Raw genomic sequence first — 23,915 nt, 5'->3', positions numbered from 1 at the left:
TCGATTTTCTCTCAAATATTCCACAAATCCTGAACACTCATCATTAAAAAAAAAAAAATTCATGCAGGGATTATGGTGGCTAAAAATTTGAAGTTCAGGTATTCTATTTTAAATGCCTTCATCCTGGGCATTTATCAGTCTTAGGTCTCGTGCTTTTAGTTAGAAGAATGACACAAAATCTCGGCAAAAAAAATTAGCAATATTACTCTTTAAAAAGTGTTTTTATTTGTGTTAATTATTTAATGCTCACAATAGGAATTTGCAGGTCAATTTCATCATTTCTGTTTTCCAGATGAAAAAACACAAGCTGAGAGAGGTTAAGTGATTTGTTCAAAGTAGCAAGGTAAGTTAGTAAGTCTTTTAGCTGTGTCTAGAAATTACTATGCCCTGCTGTTAATACCTGGGTGTGAATTAATTTTAATTAGCACTTCCTTCCCAGGGCTATTGACTTTTTAAAGAACATAGTAAGTAAAAGGCTTCATTCACTAATACTAGGACTTAAGACATTATAACCCTTGAGTAAGTAGACATTTAGAGGAAGCAAAGGACCTTCTAAATGTTCCACAAATCATATAAAACTTAGGTGAAAAATATCTACTTGCATGTAAGATTTATTTTGATGATATTCAGCTGTGACGCTGTTTTATTAGTAACATTATACATATTTAAATTTGTTAATAATTTAAAATTCTTTCTGGTTGCTCTAATCATGAGTCAGAACAGCAGTTGTACAATTATCATCTGTCATAGTGACCATTGGAAGACCAAAGAATGATTCTATAAAGGACCATGGGAGTGTAATTTGAACATTTGGAATGTTCTAATAATTCTATAATAGTTCCACCACTGCATCTGACATTGTAATCGTTAGGAATAGATTATTCCTCGTGTCAGTAAATCAAACATCATTTATGCAGAACATCAAGAAGTTTGACTGTGAAAGAAACAAAACCTAGTGATCTGGTAAGAGCTGAGAATAATTTGAATAATGGCATAGATGATAACAGACTCATTCGTAGATGTGTTTAACATTTTGAGCTTTTAATTTCTCTGTGATGGATGAAAAAAGGTAAAGTAAGCCATACACTGTGGGTTTTTAATAAATAACCAAAATAGTTATAGAAAAGAATAATTATGGATCATGAAAATGATGGGAATGATTATTTTGATAATGAGATTAGAGTTGCCAGAGAATGAAAAAAAACCATAGAAATTAGTAAAGAGCACTGGACGGCATGTTAAAAGACTGAATCTGAACCTGCTTCTGCTGTTCCCTGGCCTTATGATCTTGGGAAGTGATCTAATCTCCCTAAATCTGTTTCCTCATCTAGAAATTAGTTAATACGTAAGACTTGAAACCTTCCCTCCCCTATGTGATATAAAACACATCTTGCTAAAGAGGTAGGAATGTAGAAAGGCACTTCTTCATGTAGCTGGAATTCTACACTGTGCTTGATGCTTTGGAATTACCATCTACTTACATGTGAGATTTATTTTGATAATATCTTTCGCCCATGGCTCCTGCTTTATTAGTAACATTATTTATATTTATTAATAATTTTAGATTATTTCAGGTAATTATAGACTCTGAGTCCCAACCCCACTCCCCCCATGCCCTGGGCTTTGCACATTCAGGGTGGAAACAAATTCATTTACTGGAGATTAAGCATAGCATGGTGGTTGGCAGCATGGGCTCTGGAAACAAACCACTGGAATAGAAATCCCCTCTCCATATATTAGCCTGGAGATGTCATTTAGCTTCTTTGTGCCTAAATTTTCTCAGCTCTAAACTTTCAGTTCTTCAGTTTCCTCAATTGTAAACTGGATGTGATACCAGCACCTAACTCATAGGATTACTATTAACATATGCAATGCTTTTAGAAAAAATGTTTGACATATGTGCTATATGGATGTTTATTAAATAGGTACAATAAAACGTTATAAATGATACAACCAGTGTTTCTCAACTGGGGCAGTTTTGTCCACTAAGAGATATTTGGCAATATCTGGAGACATTTTTGGTTGCCACAGCTGGGAGGGAGTTACTGGCATCTAGCGGATAGGGGTATGGGTGCTGATAAATATCTCACAGTAAAGAGGATAGCCACCCACAAACAAGAATTATCCAGTCCCATGTGTCAATAAGTGCCAAGGCTGAGAAATATTGGTATATACAGAATACCAGGGTGACACCGTGAATCAAGAAATCAGTTCAATTTGAGTTGGCAAGAGGAAGGAAGGATTTACAAAGGCAGAGGTAAATAGGTGTTTGAGAAGACATCACAAGGCCTAGAAGATCCCATGGCCATCTCATCCCATTAAGATGAACGCTTCCTGGATGCTAGGTGTGGCCTGAGGCCTCGAAAACCTGCAAGTGTTTATATCACTTCCTGTGGTATCAAGGGGTTCAGACTCAATGGCAAAGTTTGTACTTTACAATAAATACTTTGCGTTACTAATTCATTTGTTCTTCATCACACTATAAGATAAATATTATTATCCTTACCTAGTCTGTAGCAGAGTAGGAAATTTGACCCTATGCTTCCTTTGTGTAAAAGTAAAGAGAAAAATATCATTAAATACATCAGTGGGTTCACGGATAAAACGCATCTCCTCTGTCTCTACCAGAAAAGGAAAGGAATTGAAATTAAGAGAAGGGAGACATTGAAGGATGGAGCCAAGATTGAAAGGAGAAAGAGGTTGAGGGATAGTGAGAGAGGCTGGAGAAGAAAGTAAAAAGAGGCCGCTTACCCAATTTAAAATTGGTGAGATGTTCCTTGGGCTGGTTGGTCTGAGGACCCAAGGTCATAGGTGGATCTTTCTCATGGAGCAAAGAGCAGGAGGACAAGGGATTGATCTCCAAGGTAGGTCCCCCGATCCGAGTCACGGCACCAAATATCACGCGCGTCTGTGTGACGAGACAACCAAACAGGCTTTGTGTGAGCAATAAAGCTTTTTAATCACCTGGGTGCAAGCGGGTTGAGTCCGAAAAGAGAGTCAGCAAAGGGAGATAGGGGTGGGGCCGTTTTATAGGATTTGAGTAGGTAGTGGAAAATTACAATCAAAGGGGGTTGTTCTCTGGCTGGCAGGGGTGGGGGTCACAAGGTGCTCAGTGGGGGAGCTTTTGAGCCAGAATGAGCCAGGAGAAAGAATTTCACAAGGTAATGGCATCAGGTAAGACAGGAACAGGCCATTTTCACTTCTTTTGTCAGTCTTCAGTTACTTCAGGCCATCTGGATGCATACGTACAGTCTTGGGCCCAGAGGCCTGACATTAACAATATATTTGACTTACAAAGGGTACAAAATTTCAGTTTTGTAAGATAAGTAAACTCCGGAGATCTACCATACAGAATAGTACCAAGAGCTAACATAGTATATCATATTCTTAAAATTTTCTGAGAGCATATCTTATATGTTCTTATCAAACACACACATACATACACACATTGATGATGATGGCAATAACAAAGAAGGCAGAAGAAAATTTGGGAGGTGAGGGATATGTCTATGGCTTTGTTTGTAGTAATGGTTTCATCACTTATTCCTAAACTCATTGAGTTGCATGCATCAAATAAGCAAAACTTTTTACATGCCAATTGTGCCTTAATAAAGCGGTTTAAAAATATATACATACATATATGACCAAAAAGACATTTTCTGTTTTTTTTTTTTTATTTTTATTTTTTTGAGACGGAGTCTCAGTCTGTCGACCAGTCTGAAGTGCAGCGGAGACATCTTGGCTCACTGCAGCCTCTAACTCCTCGGTTCCAGCGATTCTCCTGCCTCAGCCTCCCCAGTAGCTGGGACTACAGGTGCTCGTCACCACATCCACCTAATTTTTGTATTTTTTAGTGAGACGGGGTTTTACCATATTGGCCAGGCTGGTCTTGAACTCCTGACCTCGTGATCTACCCACCTCTTAATGGTCCTCACATCATCATGTTGGTTTAACTCAGCTGGAAAGCCTGAAGTAATGATTAGTCTGTTACTAAGAATTAAACCAGTAATTTATGGATGGAAAGAATGTCACCTCCTTCTCTAAGAAGAGTTCTTTCTCTCTGGGCAGCTATGGGATCAATTCCTCTTTCCTTCTAAATCAAGGAAAATGTTTTAATTATGACTTAAACAACTTTTTTCAAAAAATCCTGAAATAGATTGCTATGGGAATTTTTGTCTTTAAAAGGAATGACAATTGTTTATATAATCTTATATAATAAATGTTTCTACAATGTTAAACAATTATATGTATAATTGTTTAATATAATGGCATATAAACAATTGCCCAGAGGTGGAGTCACACCGCATGTTCTCACTCCTAGGTGGGAATTGAACAATGAGAACACTTGGACACAGGATGGGGAACATCACACATTGGGGACGGTTGTGGGGTGGGGGGAGGGGGGAGGGATAGCATTAGCAGAAATACCTAATGTAAATGACGAGTTAATGGGTGCAGCACACCAACATGGCACATGTATACATATGTAAGAAACCTGCATGTTGTGCACACGTACCCTAGAACTTAAAGTATAATTTTAAAAAATTGCCATTCCTTTTACAAAAACAATATATAGCAATCTATTTCAGGTTTTTTTCTAATTTGTGTTTAGTTATGTTCTGCTTATGCCTAGAGTCTCATAACCTTGAAACAAAATACGGGCAGCATAAAATGACTTGACTGACCATCTTTTCAGGAGTGAATTTTTAATGTATCCAACCATCATGTATTGAGCACCTAAGTTGAACTGGCCTCCTTTCCAACTTATTTTCTTTTCAACATCACATGGACCTATTACTGACCCATTACCTACAATAAGAGCAGAACAGTTAGCTAGTTAGCTGTTATGAAATATGTGTTATATAAATAGCACATGCATTCATCCAGTAGTCATTTATCAAGCACATGCTATGTCCTAGAATTTACACACAAGTCACACAGTAGGCAGAAACACCACATTTTTCTGAAACACATTTATTGATATTTAAAGCATTTTTCTTCTGAACCTGTGAGTTCAGTTTTCAGTAGGCACATTGATTTTTCAGCTGCTTTTCTATAAGGTAAGGACTCTCACATATCTTCACTCAATACAAAGCTGTTATAAGTTAAAGGAGGACTTGCAAAACTATAAGGTAAACCCTTAGACCTAAAGCCACGGGACAACAGAGCAATTCATATCTACTCAAGTATTTTATTTACCAACTGCACAAGCATATATTGAAGTGAAAAGTCTGACAAATGTGTCCCCTTTTCTCCCAGCAGTCAAATCCCCCAGCATTACGGTTTGGTCAAAAAATAAAACTGTAATGCACTCTCAAATCTCTGCTGATTTTATCAGCAGAGCTCTAAGGATGTCCCCACCTTCCACACCACACATGTGCATGCACACACACACACACACACACACACACACACACACACACACACACACACAGAGATTTCCTTTTTCTTTCTCCTTCCTCCCCCAGGTAAACTTGTTATCAGGGAAATTTTTAATAGGACTGAATCCAAGGCAATGATTATGCTTCTATCTTCTGCAAATCAAATGTCATCCCACTGTGACATTTTAACTGAAGAGTACAGAGATTGAGAGAGAACCAGCAGATTTGGGGATCAGAGCATGAAAATGAACTCTGAAGGTGGCCTCGAAGAGGTTAGTGTGCCCAAATTTCAAAGGTGGTGCACAAGCAGGTTTGAGTTAAGCCAGTTTGACACTTCTCTAACTCCTGGAAAACCAGGTGCTGCAGAGCCAGCTTTTATAATCCAGAGGCATAGCTTTTCCTGACTCAAAATTCATTCAAAAGTCAGAGACATTTTGATTGTTTTTAATGAAAGAGAAGAGTGGTTAAAAATTGTCTTTATTCCCTTCTTACCTCTGAGTTTTGGTGATGGGGCTGCCCTTGTCTGCCTTTACAGAAATTATCTGAAGATCTTTCTTATGGAACTCAGACAGGTTGGCAGTCTCAGGCTCAGCAGGACCCAGTAACACTGAATTATATTTGAAAAGTTTTGACAGATAAATAATTGTTGGCTGGTGTCCTAGGTTAAATATCATAACTCCTCCCTGCAACCGTCAAGGCAATTGCAAAATGTCTGACCCTGGTGCCTACGGTCCAGACCATGAGAAAGTGGCAGTGTCACCACCAACTGATCACTGGGGTGTATTGTTCTGAGTCTCTTCACAATGACTTTAACCCTTCAAATAATGTAGCTGGAATTTGCAACTCTGCACCTCTGGAGGGTCAGGCTGGTCTACACATTATTTTTGAAAGCCCATCAATATGAAGCCAAACCTTTGTACATTTTAAGATTGCTTGTGAGGAGTTGCATCAAGAAATGTCCAGATTACAATATCTACTTTCTCCCAGTGAGCATAATAAGGAGTTAAAATTTCTGTTTGTGTTTGTTTGCTTATTTTTGAAACAAAATACTTACATCTGCTGTGAAAATTAGGATTTCTTGTTTTGAGTACCTTAAAGAGGAAAAGTCATGAAGTGTTAACTGAAGAGATAACCTGGTTTGAAAAAGGGAAGCAGAGAGATCCTAGGAAAAAAAATAGAGAAAAGAGAGACAAAAAAATAAAGAAAATAGAGGTAAAAGTGGGTAACTTTAAATGAGTGCAATTATTAGTACTTAGAGAAAGAGATATTGAATAGATTATGAAGTATCAATAATAAAATTAATGGGAATATGCATTTATCAAAACTACTGGTGTTTTTGTCATTAAACGAATAATACTTTAAATTTTTATTAAAATAGATAATAATAGTAATAATAGGTTTTGGTTATAGGGTTTTTACCATGTGCTAGGAACAATGTCTGCAAGAAAAGTATCAAAATCTCTCTTTTAAAGATGATCAAACTGAAACTCAGCTGATTTCACTTACTCAAAAGTGTAATCAGTGTTTAAGCATAGGTCAGTCTGAACCTAAAGTATGTGTTGATAAAAAGTAGATACATCTTTAAGAAGTGGTTCATCCTCTCTTTTTAACCCATGACCTATACGCACTAGCAAAGATTTTGCTGAGTTTTACTTTCTGTAGTTTGTATATAATGAAAACCATACTCCTATGAAAGTGCTCATTTAACGTACATCTCCCAAGATCCTTCCTTTGCTTCCCAGGCTGTAGCCTCCATCCCTACCCATATTCTTGTGCCACCTCTCCCACTCTTGCAGACCTTATTAAGAATCATCTATGCAGTCAGAGAACTCAATTTTTATATTATATTTACTCTTGATTTATTTATTTGGGCATTGTCAATTTATTTATTTGGGCATTGCCAGTATGCACCATACTATAGTCTAAGTAAATTTTGCTTTTTCAAATCTTATGAGTGTGTGCTACCTAGTTTTATAGAAAATCTAAATGTTGGTCAAAGGGCATCCACGCTCTGCACCCATTTGAACAAAAAGAAAAGAGAATGAACATGGAAGAAGGGGAGTGTTGGGTTCGAGTCCTAATGTGTCATTTTCTAGCTATATAAAAAACACAATTCTGATGCCTGATAGCCTGAAATCAAATCCTGTCTCATCCATGTAGCAACTGTGACTTCCAGTATTTTACTTCATCTTTCTGAGTTTCAATTTTATAATATATAAATAAATGATAATAATAGCACCTGCCTAATGAGAATTAAATGAGATATTGATGGCAAGTTCTTAGAACAATGCTTGGCTTATAGTAAAGGGTCAATAAATGGTATACAGTATTATTTTATTATTATTATCAACATCACCATCATTATTGTAATTGTATTTACTATTACTCTTGTGGTAAGCATTATTATCAATATCTATTATCAGCCTCAGGCTCTTCATGAAAGCAAATAATTTATTGAAGCAGTTGTTTTTCAAAATTGGTTATTGTATTTAGCTAGTTATGTTAGTTTTATGAAAATACAGTTTTTGAAAAAATAAAATAATTTATTCAAATAAAGGGGCTATTTGGTAAACCCTATATTCTATAATAATTTCCCCTGAGTGACAAGCTCTTCTCACATCTTACTTGGCAAAAAGAAAAAAAAGAAAAAAGAAGAAAGAAAATCTAGAGAGCTTTTCCTTGGTGAATCTAGTTACTTGCTGAATCTAGAGAGCTTTTTTGGAAGTTAAGCCCATCTGCATTAGACTTAGACCTACTTACTTCTAAATTCCAGCTCCAAAAAAGTTCAGTTTTCTTATCTGAAAAAATGAGAATCATAATTACTACCTTGAAAGATGGTTGTAATGAATAAGCACATAATATTACAAAGTAAGAAAATCCAACCCTTGCTGAGATCTTTTGTGCCACACACTGAACACACAGTGAACACACTGATCTTTTGTGCCACACACTTTTCATGTATCAACTAATTTAATTTTCACAACTGCAATATGGTTCATACTATTATAATCCCTATGCTTGTAATTGTGAAGTGAATTGCAACTTCAGTTATTTAAACTAGTATCTTCACTGTACATGGCCTTAGTCTTTAGAGAAAAAGCCTTTTAAAGATTCTCCCTTTCCAGGATGCCTTTAAATAGCCACATTATCTGCCCAGGTTCCCTACTGCCTGCCTTGCCTGAAGGGCTCCACGCTGAGTGTGGGAGAATTTACCAGGGAGAAAAACAACTTAGTTTTACCTGGGTGACAGCAATTATGCAGAATGACAACAGGAGCAGTTAAGTTACAAGTTAAGGGTGATAATTCACTCTCCCCAGGGACTGTCACTCAGAAAGGCTTGAGAAAAAAATACCAGCAAAACAATGGCACACTCTGTTGTTAACAGTCATGTCCCTATAATGCCTTGGCATTGTGAAACAGTAAGGCCAATAATGCAGTCTGCTGTCCCTGGAAATCTCTCCAAGCACATGTGCTATATCTCAAGCTGTCACTCCTTAAAATCCCACCATCGAACGGGTCACCAGGTCGTCCCTGTCAGCCATGGCAGCTCCACAGTGATGGTTCCATAGGACCCTCAAAATAACCTACTTGCAATCAGAACTCACCAATGGATTTTAAAATACATAAACCAAGGAGTATGAGAAACCTAGATAATTTAAAATATATCTTTCTTCAACATAGATATAGGACGTGGGGATTGTAGTCTGGGAGTTTAACATTATGATGCAAGGCAGTTGCTGAGACAAAGCACTATTCTTATTACTTTTGCACCCTATAGAAAGCTTTTTGAAAACAATTCCATCAAATTGGTTAAAAAAATTGTGAACGCCCATATCTCTAAAACTGCCTTTGCAAAAATTATAACTGAGGAAATTATAACACTGAAAGAGGTCTGACCTAACTGATTCCATCTTTTTTCTAATCTCCAAGCTGTCCTTGTTCATTCCTGGGCATAAACCAAATAAACTTTGGGAGGAACTTAGTTTATAGTTTAACTTTGAAACAAAGATGATAACAGTCCTTTCCCCAAACTCCCTTCCTTCCTGGGGACTACATTGCCTTTGTAGGACTACAAAATTAGCCGCAAGTTTAGAAATTATGGTTTAGGAGTCATGCAGCTGGAGGCTGCAAGATTCTCACCCTCCCTAAATTGCTCCTAGGGATAACATCACTATTGTAAAACCTAAGCGCTTGAGATATTTTGCAGGCCCTGCACTTGATGGATTAGTTGGCACCACCCAGATGTGTAAACTGGCTCATCTGGTTTTGTGGCCTCCACCCAGGAATGGACTCTACAAAAAGATAACTTTGACTCTCTATGATTTCATCTCAGACATGACCAATCAGTACTCCCCACTCTTCAACCCCTACCCACCAAATTATCCTTGAAAACTCTAGTCTCCAAGTTTTCACGGAGACTGATTTGAGTAATAATAAAACTCTAGTCTCCCATACAGCCAGCCCAGCTCTGCATGAATTAAACTCTTCCTCTATTGCAATTCCCCTGTCTTGATAATTGGCTCTGCTAGGTAGTGGGCAAGGAGAACCCGTTGGTTCTCCCATTAAGCCCATTAAACATATTCAACAACTATTTTAATTATTTTTATTCCCACTTGATTTATAATAAAACTGTGCTCAAGGAAGTTTCATAATATGCTCAGGGTCATACAGAAGAGATGGGAGTGGAACTCTAGCCAGACTGAAACCGCCTTTGCAAAAATTGTAACAGTGAGAAAATTATGGCAGTGAAAGCGATCTGATCTAAACAACCCCTGTCTTGTCTTTAACCCCCTGAAGAAAATAGCACTATTGTAAGACCTAGGATTGGCCTTTTGAGATGTCTTTTCATGTTTTCACGTTTCTGATGAGGAGAGCTCCACCCAGACTTGCCAACTGGTCCTGTGGCCCCACCCAGAAGCAGACTATTTTCCATATCTCTGTCATTGTATGCCCCACAAATCAGTAGCACCATTCTCTGGCCCACCAAACTATCCTTGAATAAACCTAGCCTCTGAATTTTAGGGGAGACTGATTTGAGTAATAATAAAACTCTGGTCATCCATTCAATTGGCTCTGCAAAAATTAAACTCTATCTCTATTGCGATTACCCTGTCTTGATAAATTGCTTCTATCTGGGCAGCAGGCAAAATAAATCCATTGGGTGGTTACAAGTCTAGATTTAAATCCCAAATGTTCTTTACCACTTGATTCTATTTCTCTGAGAGAAGCTTTGGGGAGAGTCAGAACTGCGGTCACATTTCCTGCTTTGCTGCTTAGCAGCAGATGTGACCATGGGAAAATTGTAAAAATTCTGTTAAACTTAGTTTACTCATCTGTAAAATTGGGATAATCATAACAGCCAATTTAAAGGTGAGATGAAAGGAGTTCGAGAGATTTTTATGATAAAAAAAGTACCAGAAGGCTCATTTCATGCAAGTTATCTGCTTTTCTTTTCTTTTTTTTTTTTTAAGTTTTTTTTCTTTTATTATTATACTTTAAGTTTTAGGGTACATGTGCACATTTTGCAGGTTAGTTACATATGTATATATGTGCCATGCTGGTGTGCTGCACCCACTAACTCGTCGTCTAGCATTAGGTATATCTCCCAATGCTATCCCTCCCCCCTCCCCCCACCCCACAACAGTCCCCAGAGTGTGATGTTCCCCTTCCTGTGTCCATATGTTCTCATTGTTCAATTCCCACCTATGAGTGAGAATATGCAGTGTTTGGTTTTTTGTTCTTGCGATAGTTTACTGAGAATGATGATTTCCAATTTCATCCATGTCCCTACAAAGGACATGAACTCATCATTTTTTATGGCTGCATAGTATTCCATGGTGTATATGTGCCACATTTTCTTAATCCAGTCTATCATTGTTGGACATTTGGGTTGGTTCCAAGTCTTTGCTATCGTGAATAATGCCACAATAAACATACGTGTGCATGTGTCTTTATAGCAGCATGATTTATAGTCCTTTGGGTATATACCCAGTAATGGGATGGCTGGGTCAAATGGTATTTCTAGTTCTAGATCCCTGAGGAATCGCCACACTGACTTCCACAATGGTTGAACTAGTTTACAGTCCCACCAACAGTGTAAAAGTGTTCCTATTTCTCCACATCCTCTCCAGCACCTGTTGTTTCCTGACTTTTTAATGATTGCCATTCTAACTGGTGTGAGATGATATCTCTGTTATTCTTAGTGAAGGGTGTTCTATTTGCAAGTTCTATGGAAATACTGACAAAGCACTTGCTTTGCTTTTGCAGGGCTGAAGAGATGTATGTGGCAAACTTTACTTAGATTTTGTTTTTCCAAATCATCTTTTTTGAGAGAGATACTAGTATTATTCAAAGGATTCAATCAAATTTGTGTAAAGTTTAATGTAAAATCATATAAAAATCTTTACGACCCAAAATTGTTAGGCCTATGGTCACTTTTTGATAGAGTTGAGCTTAAAATTCCAAAAGTTAGAATGTGGGAATTTGGCTTTTAGGAATGTCTCAATCAACCAGAAATCTAAGCAGCTATAGGCTCAGAAGTCAGTGTTCTGAACAATATATTTTCACTAAGCACTTATTGAGTGGAGCATTATGCATTAAAGCACTAACCAAGTAGGTAGTTTAGGTTGAGGCACTAATGAGGTCTAGGGGAGACCAGTCTTTGATATGGGACAGAAGGAACAGAAATCCTGTCAAAAAGGAGAACTAATAGTGTTTGTACCTGAGACTTGCGTTTTTAGGGAGGTGGAGGAAGGGCACAGACACTTACGACCCATGGGTGGGCCAGGAAATTATGCATTGGATATAGACTTATACCAAGCATTAGCAAAGAAATATAATGAGAGGTGGGAGGAAAGGTGGAAGAAATCTCAAAAGACGCCAATCTGCTGAGCTGAACCAGGCGCTCTTCTCTGTTCCCAGAAGTCTCTGTGTCTTTTCTCTAGTGGCTATAGTGTTAAACACAGTGTCTTCCTCCATTTGTGTTGCTACAACAAAATACCACAGACTGAGTAATTTATGAATAATAAAAATTTATTTTTTATATTTCTTAAGGTTGGAAAGCCAAAGATCAAGTTGCCAGCAGATTTGATGTCTGATGAGAGTTGCTGTCTGTCCCCAAGATGTAGCCTTGTTACTGCATACTCTGGATGGAAAGGACACTGGGTCCTCACAAGGTAAAAGAACATAAGACCGAAAAGAGGCCTAGACTAGTTTCCTCCAGCCCTTTTATAAAGCACTAATCTGTTCAGAGGGCAGAGTCCCTATGACCTAATCATTTCTCAAAATCCACCTGTGGATACCATGTCGATATTGAGGGATATTCACACCAAAACATACAAGATTATTTGTTGATCTGTCTTCTCCACAGATTAGAGGACCTTGCATAAAATGCCCCGATCATTGAAAACACATATGAGTTTATCCATCCAAACCCAATATTAGGATATACCATTGGGAGAGTGAAGTACAGGGATATGCATTTATTCGTTCAACAGATATGAGCTAAATAGCTTCCATTTGCTAAGGGCTTTACTAGGTGATGGATTCAGATAGAAAACAACACAGATGAAGCATATTCTGTAAAGTATAGTATCAAGGAAATAGATTAAATAAAAAATTACTGAATTACCATGAGATGGCTGCTACATAGGAAAATAATAGGATTTGTTCTGCCATAGATTAGAAGCATAGAACACTTTGGGGGCAGCTCCTCAATGTGATTCAGATATCTCTCCCTTTAAAAGCAACAATCTTGGATCTTTCTTATTTTCTCTTGGCTCTTATTTCTATAATTTTTTGTCTGCTACATTAACTTATTTAAAAACACCTTTACATTTTTTTCCCCACAAGAAAGTAAAGGTTCTCCAAGTCCTCTAAGTTAATGGGACAAGGTAAACATTGAGCTGTGACTGGATAACAATACAATGGGGAAGCAACTAAGTTGGTGTAAACATGTAAACTGATGTGATTTTTTAAATCAAATCTCTCAAACATTAATAGGTACAACTCCCAATAACACCCTATCCCACTTTCAGCCTAGGCACTGCAGTTCACTTTTAACCATCAATGTGACAGATTGCACGGGAAACCCCAAAAACATATTTCAACGTAGGGTTCTAACTTACTCCTAACATTGTGGACCATAATAAATTATAGCCTATATAAATGACCTTGTTTCTCATATTTGTGTATCATCATGGGTATGATTAATATCCAGAACGTCTACTCTGAATTCACTTGAAACCCTTTACAGGCCAGGCACAGTGGCTCACACCTATAATCCCTGCACTTTGGGAGGCTGAGGCGGGCAGATCATCAGGTCAGGAGATCCAGACCATCCTGGCTAACATGGTGAAACCCCATCTCTACTAAAAATACAAAAAGTTAGCCAAGCGTGGTGGCGGGCACCTGTAGTCCCAGCTACTTGGGAGGCTGAGGCAGGAGAATGGCATGAACCCGGGAGGTTGCAGTGAGCCAAGATCGCGCCACTGCGCTCCAGCCTGGGTGACAGAGCGAGACTCCGTCTCAAAAAAAAAAAAAAGAAAGAAAGAAACTCTTTACAAAACTAGGACTCTGCAAATCCAGCAGAGATAAGAAAAAATCCTCATTTAAAGAAAACTGTAATTGATGCTCAATGCAGCCACATTTTTTTTCTGAGAAATCGGTTGTCTTAATTACATGGCATAGAAATTAGTCATTTTTGAAGAATTTGGTGTGGGTGGAGGGCATTCTGAGTTTGTTGTTATGGGTGGGATCAGAGAAAGCATTTCCAGTGTGTATGCAAGAGAGATTGTCCCTGAGCATAAAGATCTGCTTTCCCCAGGCTTATGTCTGTAGGTGTCTCTTTCCACTCAGAGGTCACAGTGTGGGGGTGGGGTGGTAAGAGAACCATACTGCATATCTGTCATTTGGGGCCCATGTTGAGCTGAAAGCATCAGAGAAATGAAAATTCCTCTTCAGCTGAGAAATCTGTGGAATGCTCAATGCAGTGATCTTTTTGTTGTTTACTACATCCTCCTGCTTTCTCTGTCATGCATTCCAGAGGTTTCTGCAACGCACACTGCTGACATTGGCCAAGTTTACCTTTGACATTTCACAGCTTCCATTTCACCTCTATATTTCTCTACATTGGAGCAGTACACTCTTATGATGGTGTTAAGAACTCTTGTTTCATTATTTTCAGGCATTTTTTAGGGCATACTATATTTTAAAGCTAAAGCTATTTGTTACTTTTATTATGTCATCTTTTTCTTTCAAGTAAATCACAATTTCTTTTTTCACCAATGGCAAAATGAGCCCTTTCATAGATTTCTCTGGGTCTTTTATCTTGCCTTTTTATAAACATAGAGATGAACAAAATGTCAAATTCTGAGCCAGTATGCTATGGTCTGAAGAACACCAAATTGGATTTGAATCCCAGCTTTGCTTTTCTGTGACCTTGAGCATGTGAAAGTCAGGCAAGAAATTGCATATGAAGAAGCATCTGGTTCCTTATGGATCTAGCTCTAAATCTCTACAATCTATAATTCTGTGATTATTTTAGGAACATATGTAGCATAATTTCTAGGATACTCTTCAAAGAAATTAATAATTTGCTAGATATTTGTGAGTTAATATTTATTTCTTAATCAATTCTAAATCCTTGATGCAATAGAATAATTGAGAGTGGGGTTTGAAAGATACATCTTCATCCAGACGTTAAATAACGTTACTGAGTAATAATTCCCTCAATTTTAAAATAAAATGATAACATTTATCCTTCATGATTTTTGTGAGAATTAAACAAGACAATATACGTAAAAATGCCTAGCATGAGATCTGACACACATAGGGGTCAGAAAAATAAATGGGAGCAATCCTTACAATTATTGACACAAAGCTTTGTTCTTTCCAAGGCCCATTTATATACATTATTTTGTGCTACCAGACTAAACTAATGCTGCCAAGAAGTTTCATGTAAACCCATATCCCAGGGTCAGTGACATTATAAAATTCTCATCCTGAAATGAAGAGACTGTTGACTGACTTTAACTGGTAGCAATAAACCCTTTAAATCTATGTTTCATTCATTCAAATATTTTCTTGACCCATCAGCCCTGTAACAAGCTTGCCATATTTTATTTATGCAGTCATTAATATAGCAAATATTTAGCAAGTAGCAACTATGCACACGGGTATTATTTTATCAGAATCTAGTTTGTTGTATTGAAAAAGGACAAAGGAAACAAAGACAGCTACAGTAGTATAGAAATGTGTTTGGAGGTGAGTTAATATTAAAAAGAGAGTAAAAAGTTGAAAGTAATTTCTAAGATGAATTTATTTAAAATATTTAATGAGTAACTATAATCAGAATACATTAAATTTTCACATTGTGGTAAGATTTACAAAGCTCTTTTTCTAAAACATATCCTACGTCCACATACTTTACCCAAAACCTGCAAAAATCTCGGACTTTCAAGCCACCTTTATTTCTAACCAAGATCTTAACAATGGCTTCCTAACTGGAGGACCACTTTACTTTCTGGTTTTAAACCTTCCAGTGCCCTCCTGAGCACCTCTCCATCTTCATGTCCAACAGTTGCTTTCTGCCCTTGCTAACTGAGCTCAGGCCACAGACAAATATGGGCCTGTACTGGAGCAGGTAGAGCTGGTTTCTGCATCAGGACCTTCATACTTATTTCTTATTGAATTTCAAATATGCTTTTCTTTCCTTTCCTTGAGGCTGGGGTCTTTTCATTAACTGGATATCAACCTTTGAACACTCATTCTGGAGTTGCCCTCTCTAACCCATTATCACTACAGTTATCACACTATTGCTTCTGTTTCTATTGTTTCTGTTTGTTTTCCATAGCTCTTTACCCTTACTTATGAAAGTGTTGTCTATTTGTATAATCATATATTGTCTAACTTCTCCACTAGAATGTAAACTCCATGAAGGAAGGAACCTTGATTTCTCATTGACATATCTCTGTTGCACAAGTAAACCAGCACAGACAGCTTATATGACTTAAACAAGTACAAAGGACTATAACGAGTATCCGGAAAAATATCAGGTCTCCTAGTTTCTATTTCATGTTCAATTACATTTCATGAGTAGAGAATTTGTGCATATAAAGATCTTGATCTCTTGTCTTAAGGAATTTGAATCTAGCTCTTAAAGCAAGATATTCACTCATCAATAATTAATGATCCAGGAGTTAGACTGCAGGGACCATGGCAGATCAATAATGCAATAAGACTGGATATTGTTGTGGGAAGGCAGGGACCCCGAAAGGAGGGACTGGCTGAAGCCGTGGTGGAAGAACATAAATTGTGAAGATTTCATGGACATTTATTTGTTCCCCAAATTAATACTTTTATAATTTCTTACGCCTGTCTTTACTGCAATCTCTGAACATAAATTGTGAAGATTTCATGGACATTTACCACTTCCTCAATCAATACTCTTATAATTTCCTATGCCTGTCTTTACTTTAATCTCTTAATCCCATCATCTTCTTAAACTGAGGATGTATGTTGCCTCAGGACCCTGTGATGATTGCATTATCTGTACAAATTGTTTGTAAAAACATGTGTGTTTGAACAATATGAAATCTGGGCACCCTAAAAAGGGACAGGATAACAGTGATTTTCAGGGAACAAGGGAGATAACCATAAGGTCTGACCGCCTGCGGGGCCGGGCAGAACAGAGTCATACTTTTCTTATTGCAGAAAGCAAACAGGAGAAATATCACTGAATTCTTTTCCCAGCAAGGAATAAACCTGGGAAAGGAATGCATTCCCAGGGGTAGGCCTATGGAAGGCCGCTCTGGGAGTGTCTGCCTTATGCAGTTGAACATAAGGGATGAAATACACCCTGGTCTTCTGCAGTGCCCTAAGGCTTGCTAGGATTAGGAAATTCCAGCCTGGTGAATTCTAGTCAGAACGGTTATCTGCTCTCGAACACTGTTTCCTGTTAAGATGCTTATCAATGACAATGCATTCCCAGTGGGACATGGAACCTCATCAGTAATTCTAATTTCACCCTCACCTTGTGATCTTGCTCTGCCCTTGTGATCTTTTATTGCCCTTTGTAGCATGTGATCTTTGTGACTTACTTCCTGTTCGTACCTCCCTCCCCTTTTGAAATCCCTAATGAAAACTTGCTGGTTTTGTGGCTCAAGGGGCATCATGGAATCTGCCAATATGTGATGTCACCCCCAGAGGCCCAGCTGTAAAATTTCTCTCTTTGTACACTTTCTCTTTATTTCTCAGACTGGCCGACACTTAGGGAAAATAGAAAGGACCTACGGTGAAATACTGGGGGCTGGTTCCCCCGATAGTATATGATTAAGTGCCCAAATGATCTGAGATAATAAGTGCTTGGAGTTTGCATACAGATTTTAAACAACTAGGTTACAAGAAGCATTTTTTTTCTCTAGTAAATATTATGTTTCGTTCTTTAAGTTCATGTTGCTTGACTCTGTGGTTATTTGATTATTTATGTTTCTTTAATTGAATGTCATGTCCCAGAGTATCTTGAAATTGCTATGCTCTATATATTTATTTTGTAAATTAGTTATTTCTAATCAACTCTTTCTTGACATTTAAAAAAAATCTTTCAAAGCCTCTTTAAATAAATGGAGATACAAGACTGGTGATATTTCAAAATCAGCATTTTGGTAGAAAGAGAAAAACATCATCAAAATGGGAACCTATCTCAGAAAATCTTCAATTTTTTTTGTGGGGGAGCCCAAAACAGTAGTTTGATTGGCCTGTTCATCATTTTTTGTCAATTTTTATAGCATTGTAGCTTATAACTTAAAATTATCCTTAAATTTCTATGAAATTTAAAATTAATTTTAAAAATTCTATCAATGGTTCCCCTTCTCTCAACTTGTCTTGAAAAACAACACTATGAAATCCCTCTAACAGGATAAATACCTCTTTCTAAAATATGTTGAGAGGCCTTATATTCCTGAGAAGATTATCTGAACGAAAAAGACCAGCTACCCCTTTCCTGATACATATATTAGTCCCACATATTGCATAAGTGAGGCCATTGCTACCTGGAGCTTTGTGAGAAATAGTTATGAACATGGTGGCCTTTTTATTCTAACTGCCTTTCTGTGAACCTCTACTTTGTCTCTTACCATTCCAGGCTTCATCTAAGCCTACAAATTTTACCCCAGAACTAAAGCAGGCTATCCTAGTTAAGAAAGATAAAAAATACAATATGTCACACAGAAAATGCTAAATATTTAATGTCTCCAAAAGCCTAAATACAGGATAGGCAAACATATGTCCTGTGAAGGCAAAGAAAGTAAATATTTTAGGTCTTGTGGACAGTTGCCTTTTTTAACTACCAAACTTTGGCATTGTAATGTGAAAGCAGACATAGTTAATATGTAAACAAATGGACCTGGCTATGCTTCATACAATAATGAGTTCCCTACTCCATAATGAAACTGTAAGTCATAAATATGTCTTATAAATTACATAGCATATAAATATGAAAAAAAAATGTTGAAAATACCATGATTGAACTGGAAGAAATTCATACCTTAAAGATAGTTTAGTTTATATAAGCTATCTCTATACTCTCTCACTTACTTTCAGATTAGAAAATAAAAATAGGCCGGGCACAGTGGCTCATGCCTGTAATCCCAAAGTGTAATCCGAAAGTGGAGGCCGAGGTGGGTGGATCATGAGGTCAAGAGATCAAGACCATTCTTACCAGTATGGTGAAACCCCATCTCTACTAAAAATACAAAAATTAGCTGAGCATGGTGGTGCCCGCCTGTGGTCCCAGCTACTTGGGAGCTTGAGGCAGGAGAATTGCTTGAACATGGGAGACGGAGGATGCAGTGGCCGAGATGGAGCTACTGCGCTCCAGCCTGGCAACAGAGCCAAAAAAAAAAAGACTCCGTCTCAAAAAAAAGAAAGAAAGAAAAGAAAAATAAAGACAGATAATTTCAATAAAATAATTTATAAATATGTTTTAACAGAGGCCTCTTACATTTTGAACCTAAATAAATATGTATTCAAAAATATATCTCCAAATATATATAAATATTAGTAAAAGTAAAATACTTTTTTGTTTTATTAAAATTATAAAAAATAAAAATATTAAATAATTTAAAAATTAAAATAAAAATAATGGAAAATAAATGCTTATGAATTCTTTTTCATTGATTATTTCATTTAACCATTACAACTATCTTGCATGGAAGATACTATCATTGTTCTCATTTTACATGCCCAGTGTTTCAGAGCAAGTAAATTCTTCAGCCATATGACTTAATAGCCTGTCACCTATTATACTCTAGGCATAAGATACATATTGTCAACTGAAGAATGATGAGGTTTATAAATTTGGAAATGAGGGTTTTATTTCACATAAAGCGTTGCAGCCTGCAGCGTGGTTATTCTGAAAGGCCCAGCAGTATAGTTTCCAGCAAGGGAGGGGCAAAGGAAACAGGAATTTATGCAGGGTCACCAAATGTACATATTCAATAAGCTATAAGAGGAGTCATGAATATTTATGAAAGGACAAACATGCACATGCACAATTGAGCTTCATGACCCTTCATAAAACCAATGTACAGGCCAGGCAAGGTGGCTCACGCCTGTAGTCCCAGCACTTTGGGAGGCCGAGGAGGGTGGATCACGAGATCAGGAGATGGAGATTATCCTGGCTAACACGGTGAAACCCCATCTCTACTAAAACTACAAAAACTTAGCCAGGCATGGTGGTGAGCACCTGTAGTCCCAGCTACTCAGGAGGCTGAGGCAGGAGAATGACGTGAACCCGGAAGGCAGAGCTTGCAGTGAGCCGAGATCACGCCACTGCACTCCAGCCTGGGCGACAGAGCGAGACTCCATCTCAAAGAAAAAAAAAAAAAAAAAAACCAATGTACAAAAAAAATGGCAGTGTTAGCATAAAGTGACAGTAAAGCTTTAGGCCCTCTGATATCAAAAAGTGAAGTGGAGGACAAAAAAACCCTTACTGCACATTCTCCTTAGACTGGCCAGGACCACTCTATGGTCACCTGGTAAGTGACCAGGCAAAAAAGAAGACGTAATGTCAGATGGTTGTTGATAATAGTGGTGGAGACTTTTGATCATACTGGTTTCTGTTTAGCCCTTAGGGAAGAAAGCCGAATTGTGGTTAGCAAAGGAGGGGATATTTTTAACCTCTTATCCCGTCAGAGTCAGGGCTGAGTACTCCGTTTTCAAGGTTACTTTGGGGTCCCCTTCTCCAAGAGACAGTCCATTCAGACAGTTGGGGGAGCTTATAATTTTATTTTTAGGCTAGAGCCTAAAGGTGTACTCAGTGTCAAATTTAGTAGCACAAAGACTTTTGTGATTAAAGAAAGAAAAATGGAAATATATGAAGTAGTTATTCAAAGCAAAGTTTAGGTAAAATTAACAAAACAAACATAAGGAAGCAAAATGGAAGAAAAATGTGTTTTTAAAGATGAAAACAGAAATTAGTAAATTAGAATATCTAATATGATTTTTAAAACATCCCTAGTATCAAATTTTAAATGAAAGCAATAGTCAGATCTAGTAATTTTGAGAAAACCAAGAAAATAAAACACAAATTAAAAAAAAATCTATGACATCTGAAATTAATAAATAATTATAGCAAGGGTGCAGGATGCAAAGTGTCTTAGTTCATTTTCTGCTGCAATAACAAAATATCCAATATGGTTTGGCTGTGTCCCCACCCAAATCTCAACTTGAATTGTAATAATTGCCACATGTCAAGGGTGGGACCAGGTGGACATGATGGAATCATGGGGGTACTTTTCCCCATATCATTCTCATGGTAGTGAATAAGTCTCATGAGATCTGATGGTTTTATAAATGGGCATTCCCCTGCACAAGCTCTCTTGCCTGCCATCATATAAGACATGAGTTTGCTCCTCATTCACCTTCCACTATGATTGTCAGGCCTCCCCAGCTATCTAAAACTGTGAAGCAATTAAACCCCTGTCCTTTAAAAATTGCCCAGTTTTGGGTATGTCTTTATAAGCAGTGTGAGAACAGACTAATGTAGTAAATGGGGTACTGCTGTAAAGATGCCTGAAAATGTGGAAGCAACTTTGGAACTGAGTAACAGGCAAAGGTTGGAACAGTTTGGAGGGCTCAGAAGAGGACAGGAAGATGTGGAAAAGTGGAACTTCCTAGAAATTTGTTGAGTGGCTTTTACTAAAATGCTGATAGTAATATGGACAATGAAATCCAGGTTGACATTTTCACAGACGGAGATGAGAAACTTATTGGGAACTGGAATAAAGGTGACTCTTGCTATGTCTTAGCAAAGAGACTGGTATTAGTTGTTCCCTTCCCTAGAAATCTGTGAAACTTTGAACTTGAGAGAGATGATTTAGGGCATCTGGCAGAAAAAAAACTGTTAAGCAGTAAAGCATTCAAGAGGTGACTTGAGTGCTATTAAAAGCATTTGGTTTTATGTATTCACAAAGATATGATTTGGAATTGGAACTTATGTTGAAAAGGGAAGCAGAGCATAAAAGTTTATAAAATTTGCAGCCTGGTAATGTGATAGAAAAGAAAAACGCATTTTCTGAGGATAAATTAAAGCCAGTTGCATAAATTTGCATAAGTAACAAGGAGCCAAATGTTAATCGCCAAGACAATGAGAAAATATGTCTCTAGGGCATGTCAGAGGTCTTCACAGCAGTCCCTTTCATCACATGACTGGAGACCTAGGAGGAAAAAATGGTTTTGTGTGCCGGTCCCAGCCCCGCAACCTGGCCCCCCCACCCCCGACCCTGCTGTGTGCAGCCTGAGGATTTGGTGCCCTGTGTGTCAGCCACACCAGCCATGATTAAAAGGGACCAAGGTACAGTTCAGGCCATGGATTCAGAGGGGGGGGTGCAAGCCCCATGCCTTGGCAGCTTCCATGTGTGTTGGGTCTGCAGGTGCATAGAAGTCAAGAATTGAGGTTTGGGAATCTCTTCTACATTTCAGAGGATGTATAGATAAGCCTGGATGTCCAGGCAGAGCTGAGCTGCAGGGGCAGAGCCCTCATGGAGAACTTCTGCTAGGGCAGTGTGGAAGGAAAATGTGCGGTGGGAGCCCCCACTGAGAGTCCTCACTGGGGTGCTGCCTAATGGATCTGTGAGAAGACGGCCATGGTCCTCCAGATACCAGAATTGTAGATCCACCAAAAGCTTGCACTGTGCACCTAAAAAAGCCTCAGACACCCAATGCCAGCCCATGAAAGCAGCCATAAGGGAGCTGTACCCTGCAAAGCCACAAGGGCAGAGCTCCCTAAGGCAATGGGAGCCCACCTCTTGCATCACTGTGACCTGGATGTGAGACATGGAGTCAAAGGAGATAATTTTGGAGCTTTCAAGATTTGACTGCCCTGCTGGATTTCAGACTTTCATGGGGCCTGTAGCCCTTTCATTTTGGCCAATTTCTCCCATTTCGAATGGGTGTATTTACTCAAAGCCTGTACCCCCATTGTATCTAGGAGGTAACCAACTTGCTTTTGATTTTACAGGCTCATAGGCAGAAGAGACTTGCCTTGTCTCAGATAAGACTTTGGACTTGGACATTTGAGTGAATGCTAGAATAAATTGAGACTTGGAGGAACTGCTGGAAGGGCATGATTGTGTTTTAAAATGTGAGGACATGAGATTTGGGAGGGGCTGAGGTGAATAATATGGTTTGGCTGTGTCCCCACCCAAATCTCAACTTGAATTGTAATAATCCCCACATGTCAAAGGTGGGGCCAGGTGAAGATAATTGAATCATGGGGGTGGTTTTCCTCATACTGCTTTCATGGTAGTGAATAAGTCTCATGAGATCTGATGGTTTTATAAATGGGAGTTCCCCTGCCCAAGTTCTCCTGCCTGCTGCCATGTAAGACATGACTTTGCTCTTCATTTGCCTTCTACCTTGATTGTGAGGCCTCCCCAGCCATGTGGAACTGTGAGTCAGTTAAACCCCTTTCCTTTATAAATTACCCAGTCTTGGGTATATCTTTATTAGCAGTGTGAGAACAGACTAATACAATACCTCGGACTGGGTAATCTATGAATAAAAAAAATAATTTATCACAGTTCTGGAGGCTGAGAAGTCCAATATCAAGGTGCCAGCATCTTTCTAGGGCCTTTTCTGTTTTGTTTTGCATTATCCTGTGGCAGAAGAGGAGAAGGTAAAAGTGAGCACATGAGATAGAGAGAGAAAATGGGAACAAACTCATTCTTTTATCAGGAGCCCTCTTCTGCATTAACGTATAGTAGTTAATCCCGTCATAAGGGCAGGGACATCATGGCCTAATCACTTCTTAAATGCCCCATTTCTTAGTGCTTTTACAAAAGCAATTATGTTTCCAACATATGAACTTTTAGAGTACACATTCAAACCATAGTATTCCACCCCTGACCCCCAGTACTCATGTCCTCTTTAAATACAAAATACATTTATTCCATTTCAATAGCCCCAAAAGTCACAACTCATTCAGCATCAATTCAAAAGTTCAAAGCCCAGGGTTTCAACTGAATGAGGTATGGG

General features: G+C 38.1%; 1 long non-coding RNA gene across 2 annotated transcripts in view, besides 1 other annotated feature; it reads left to right on the top strand.

Moving 5' to 3' along the window:
• Nucleotides 1-288: 288 nt before the first annotated feature.
• The window catches only part of LOC107986263 (uncharacterized), a 50,786-nt gene continuing 27,159 nt past the window's right edge, over nt 289-23,915 (top strand). For both annotated transcript variants that reach the window (XR_001741604.2, XR_002959783.1), the window contains exons 1-2: nt 289-343; nt 12,435-12,556. This is a non-coding gene — a long non-coding RNA (uncharacterized LOC107986263). The remainder of the gene's footprint in view (nt 344-12,434; nt 12,557-23,915) is intronic.
• Nucleotides 8,453-8,967: an enhancer, noted in NCBI's record as "NANOG hESC enhancer chr4:19012316-19012830 (GRCh37/hg19 assembly coordinates)". NCBI's record gives its function as "activates a minimal SCP1, AML or CMV promoter by ChIP-STARR-seq in naive H9 embryonic stem cells {active_cell/tissue: H9 hESC(naive)}" and the evidence as "EXISTENCE:reporter gene assay evidence [ECO:0000049][PMID:30033119]".

The sequence above is a fragment of the Homo sapiens genome, chromosome 4 (assembly GCF_000001405.40).
Source record: "Homo sapiens chromosome 4, GRCh38.p14 Primary Assembly".
Taxonomy (NCBI): Eukaryota; Metazoa; Chordata; class Mammalia; order Primates; family Hominidae; genus Homo; species Homo sapiens.
The sequence above is the reverse complement of the archived record's forward strand: the minus strand, read 5'-3'. Positions and strand labels throughout refer to the sequence as shown.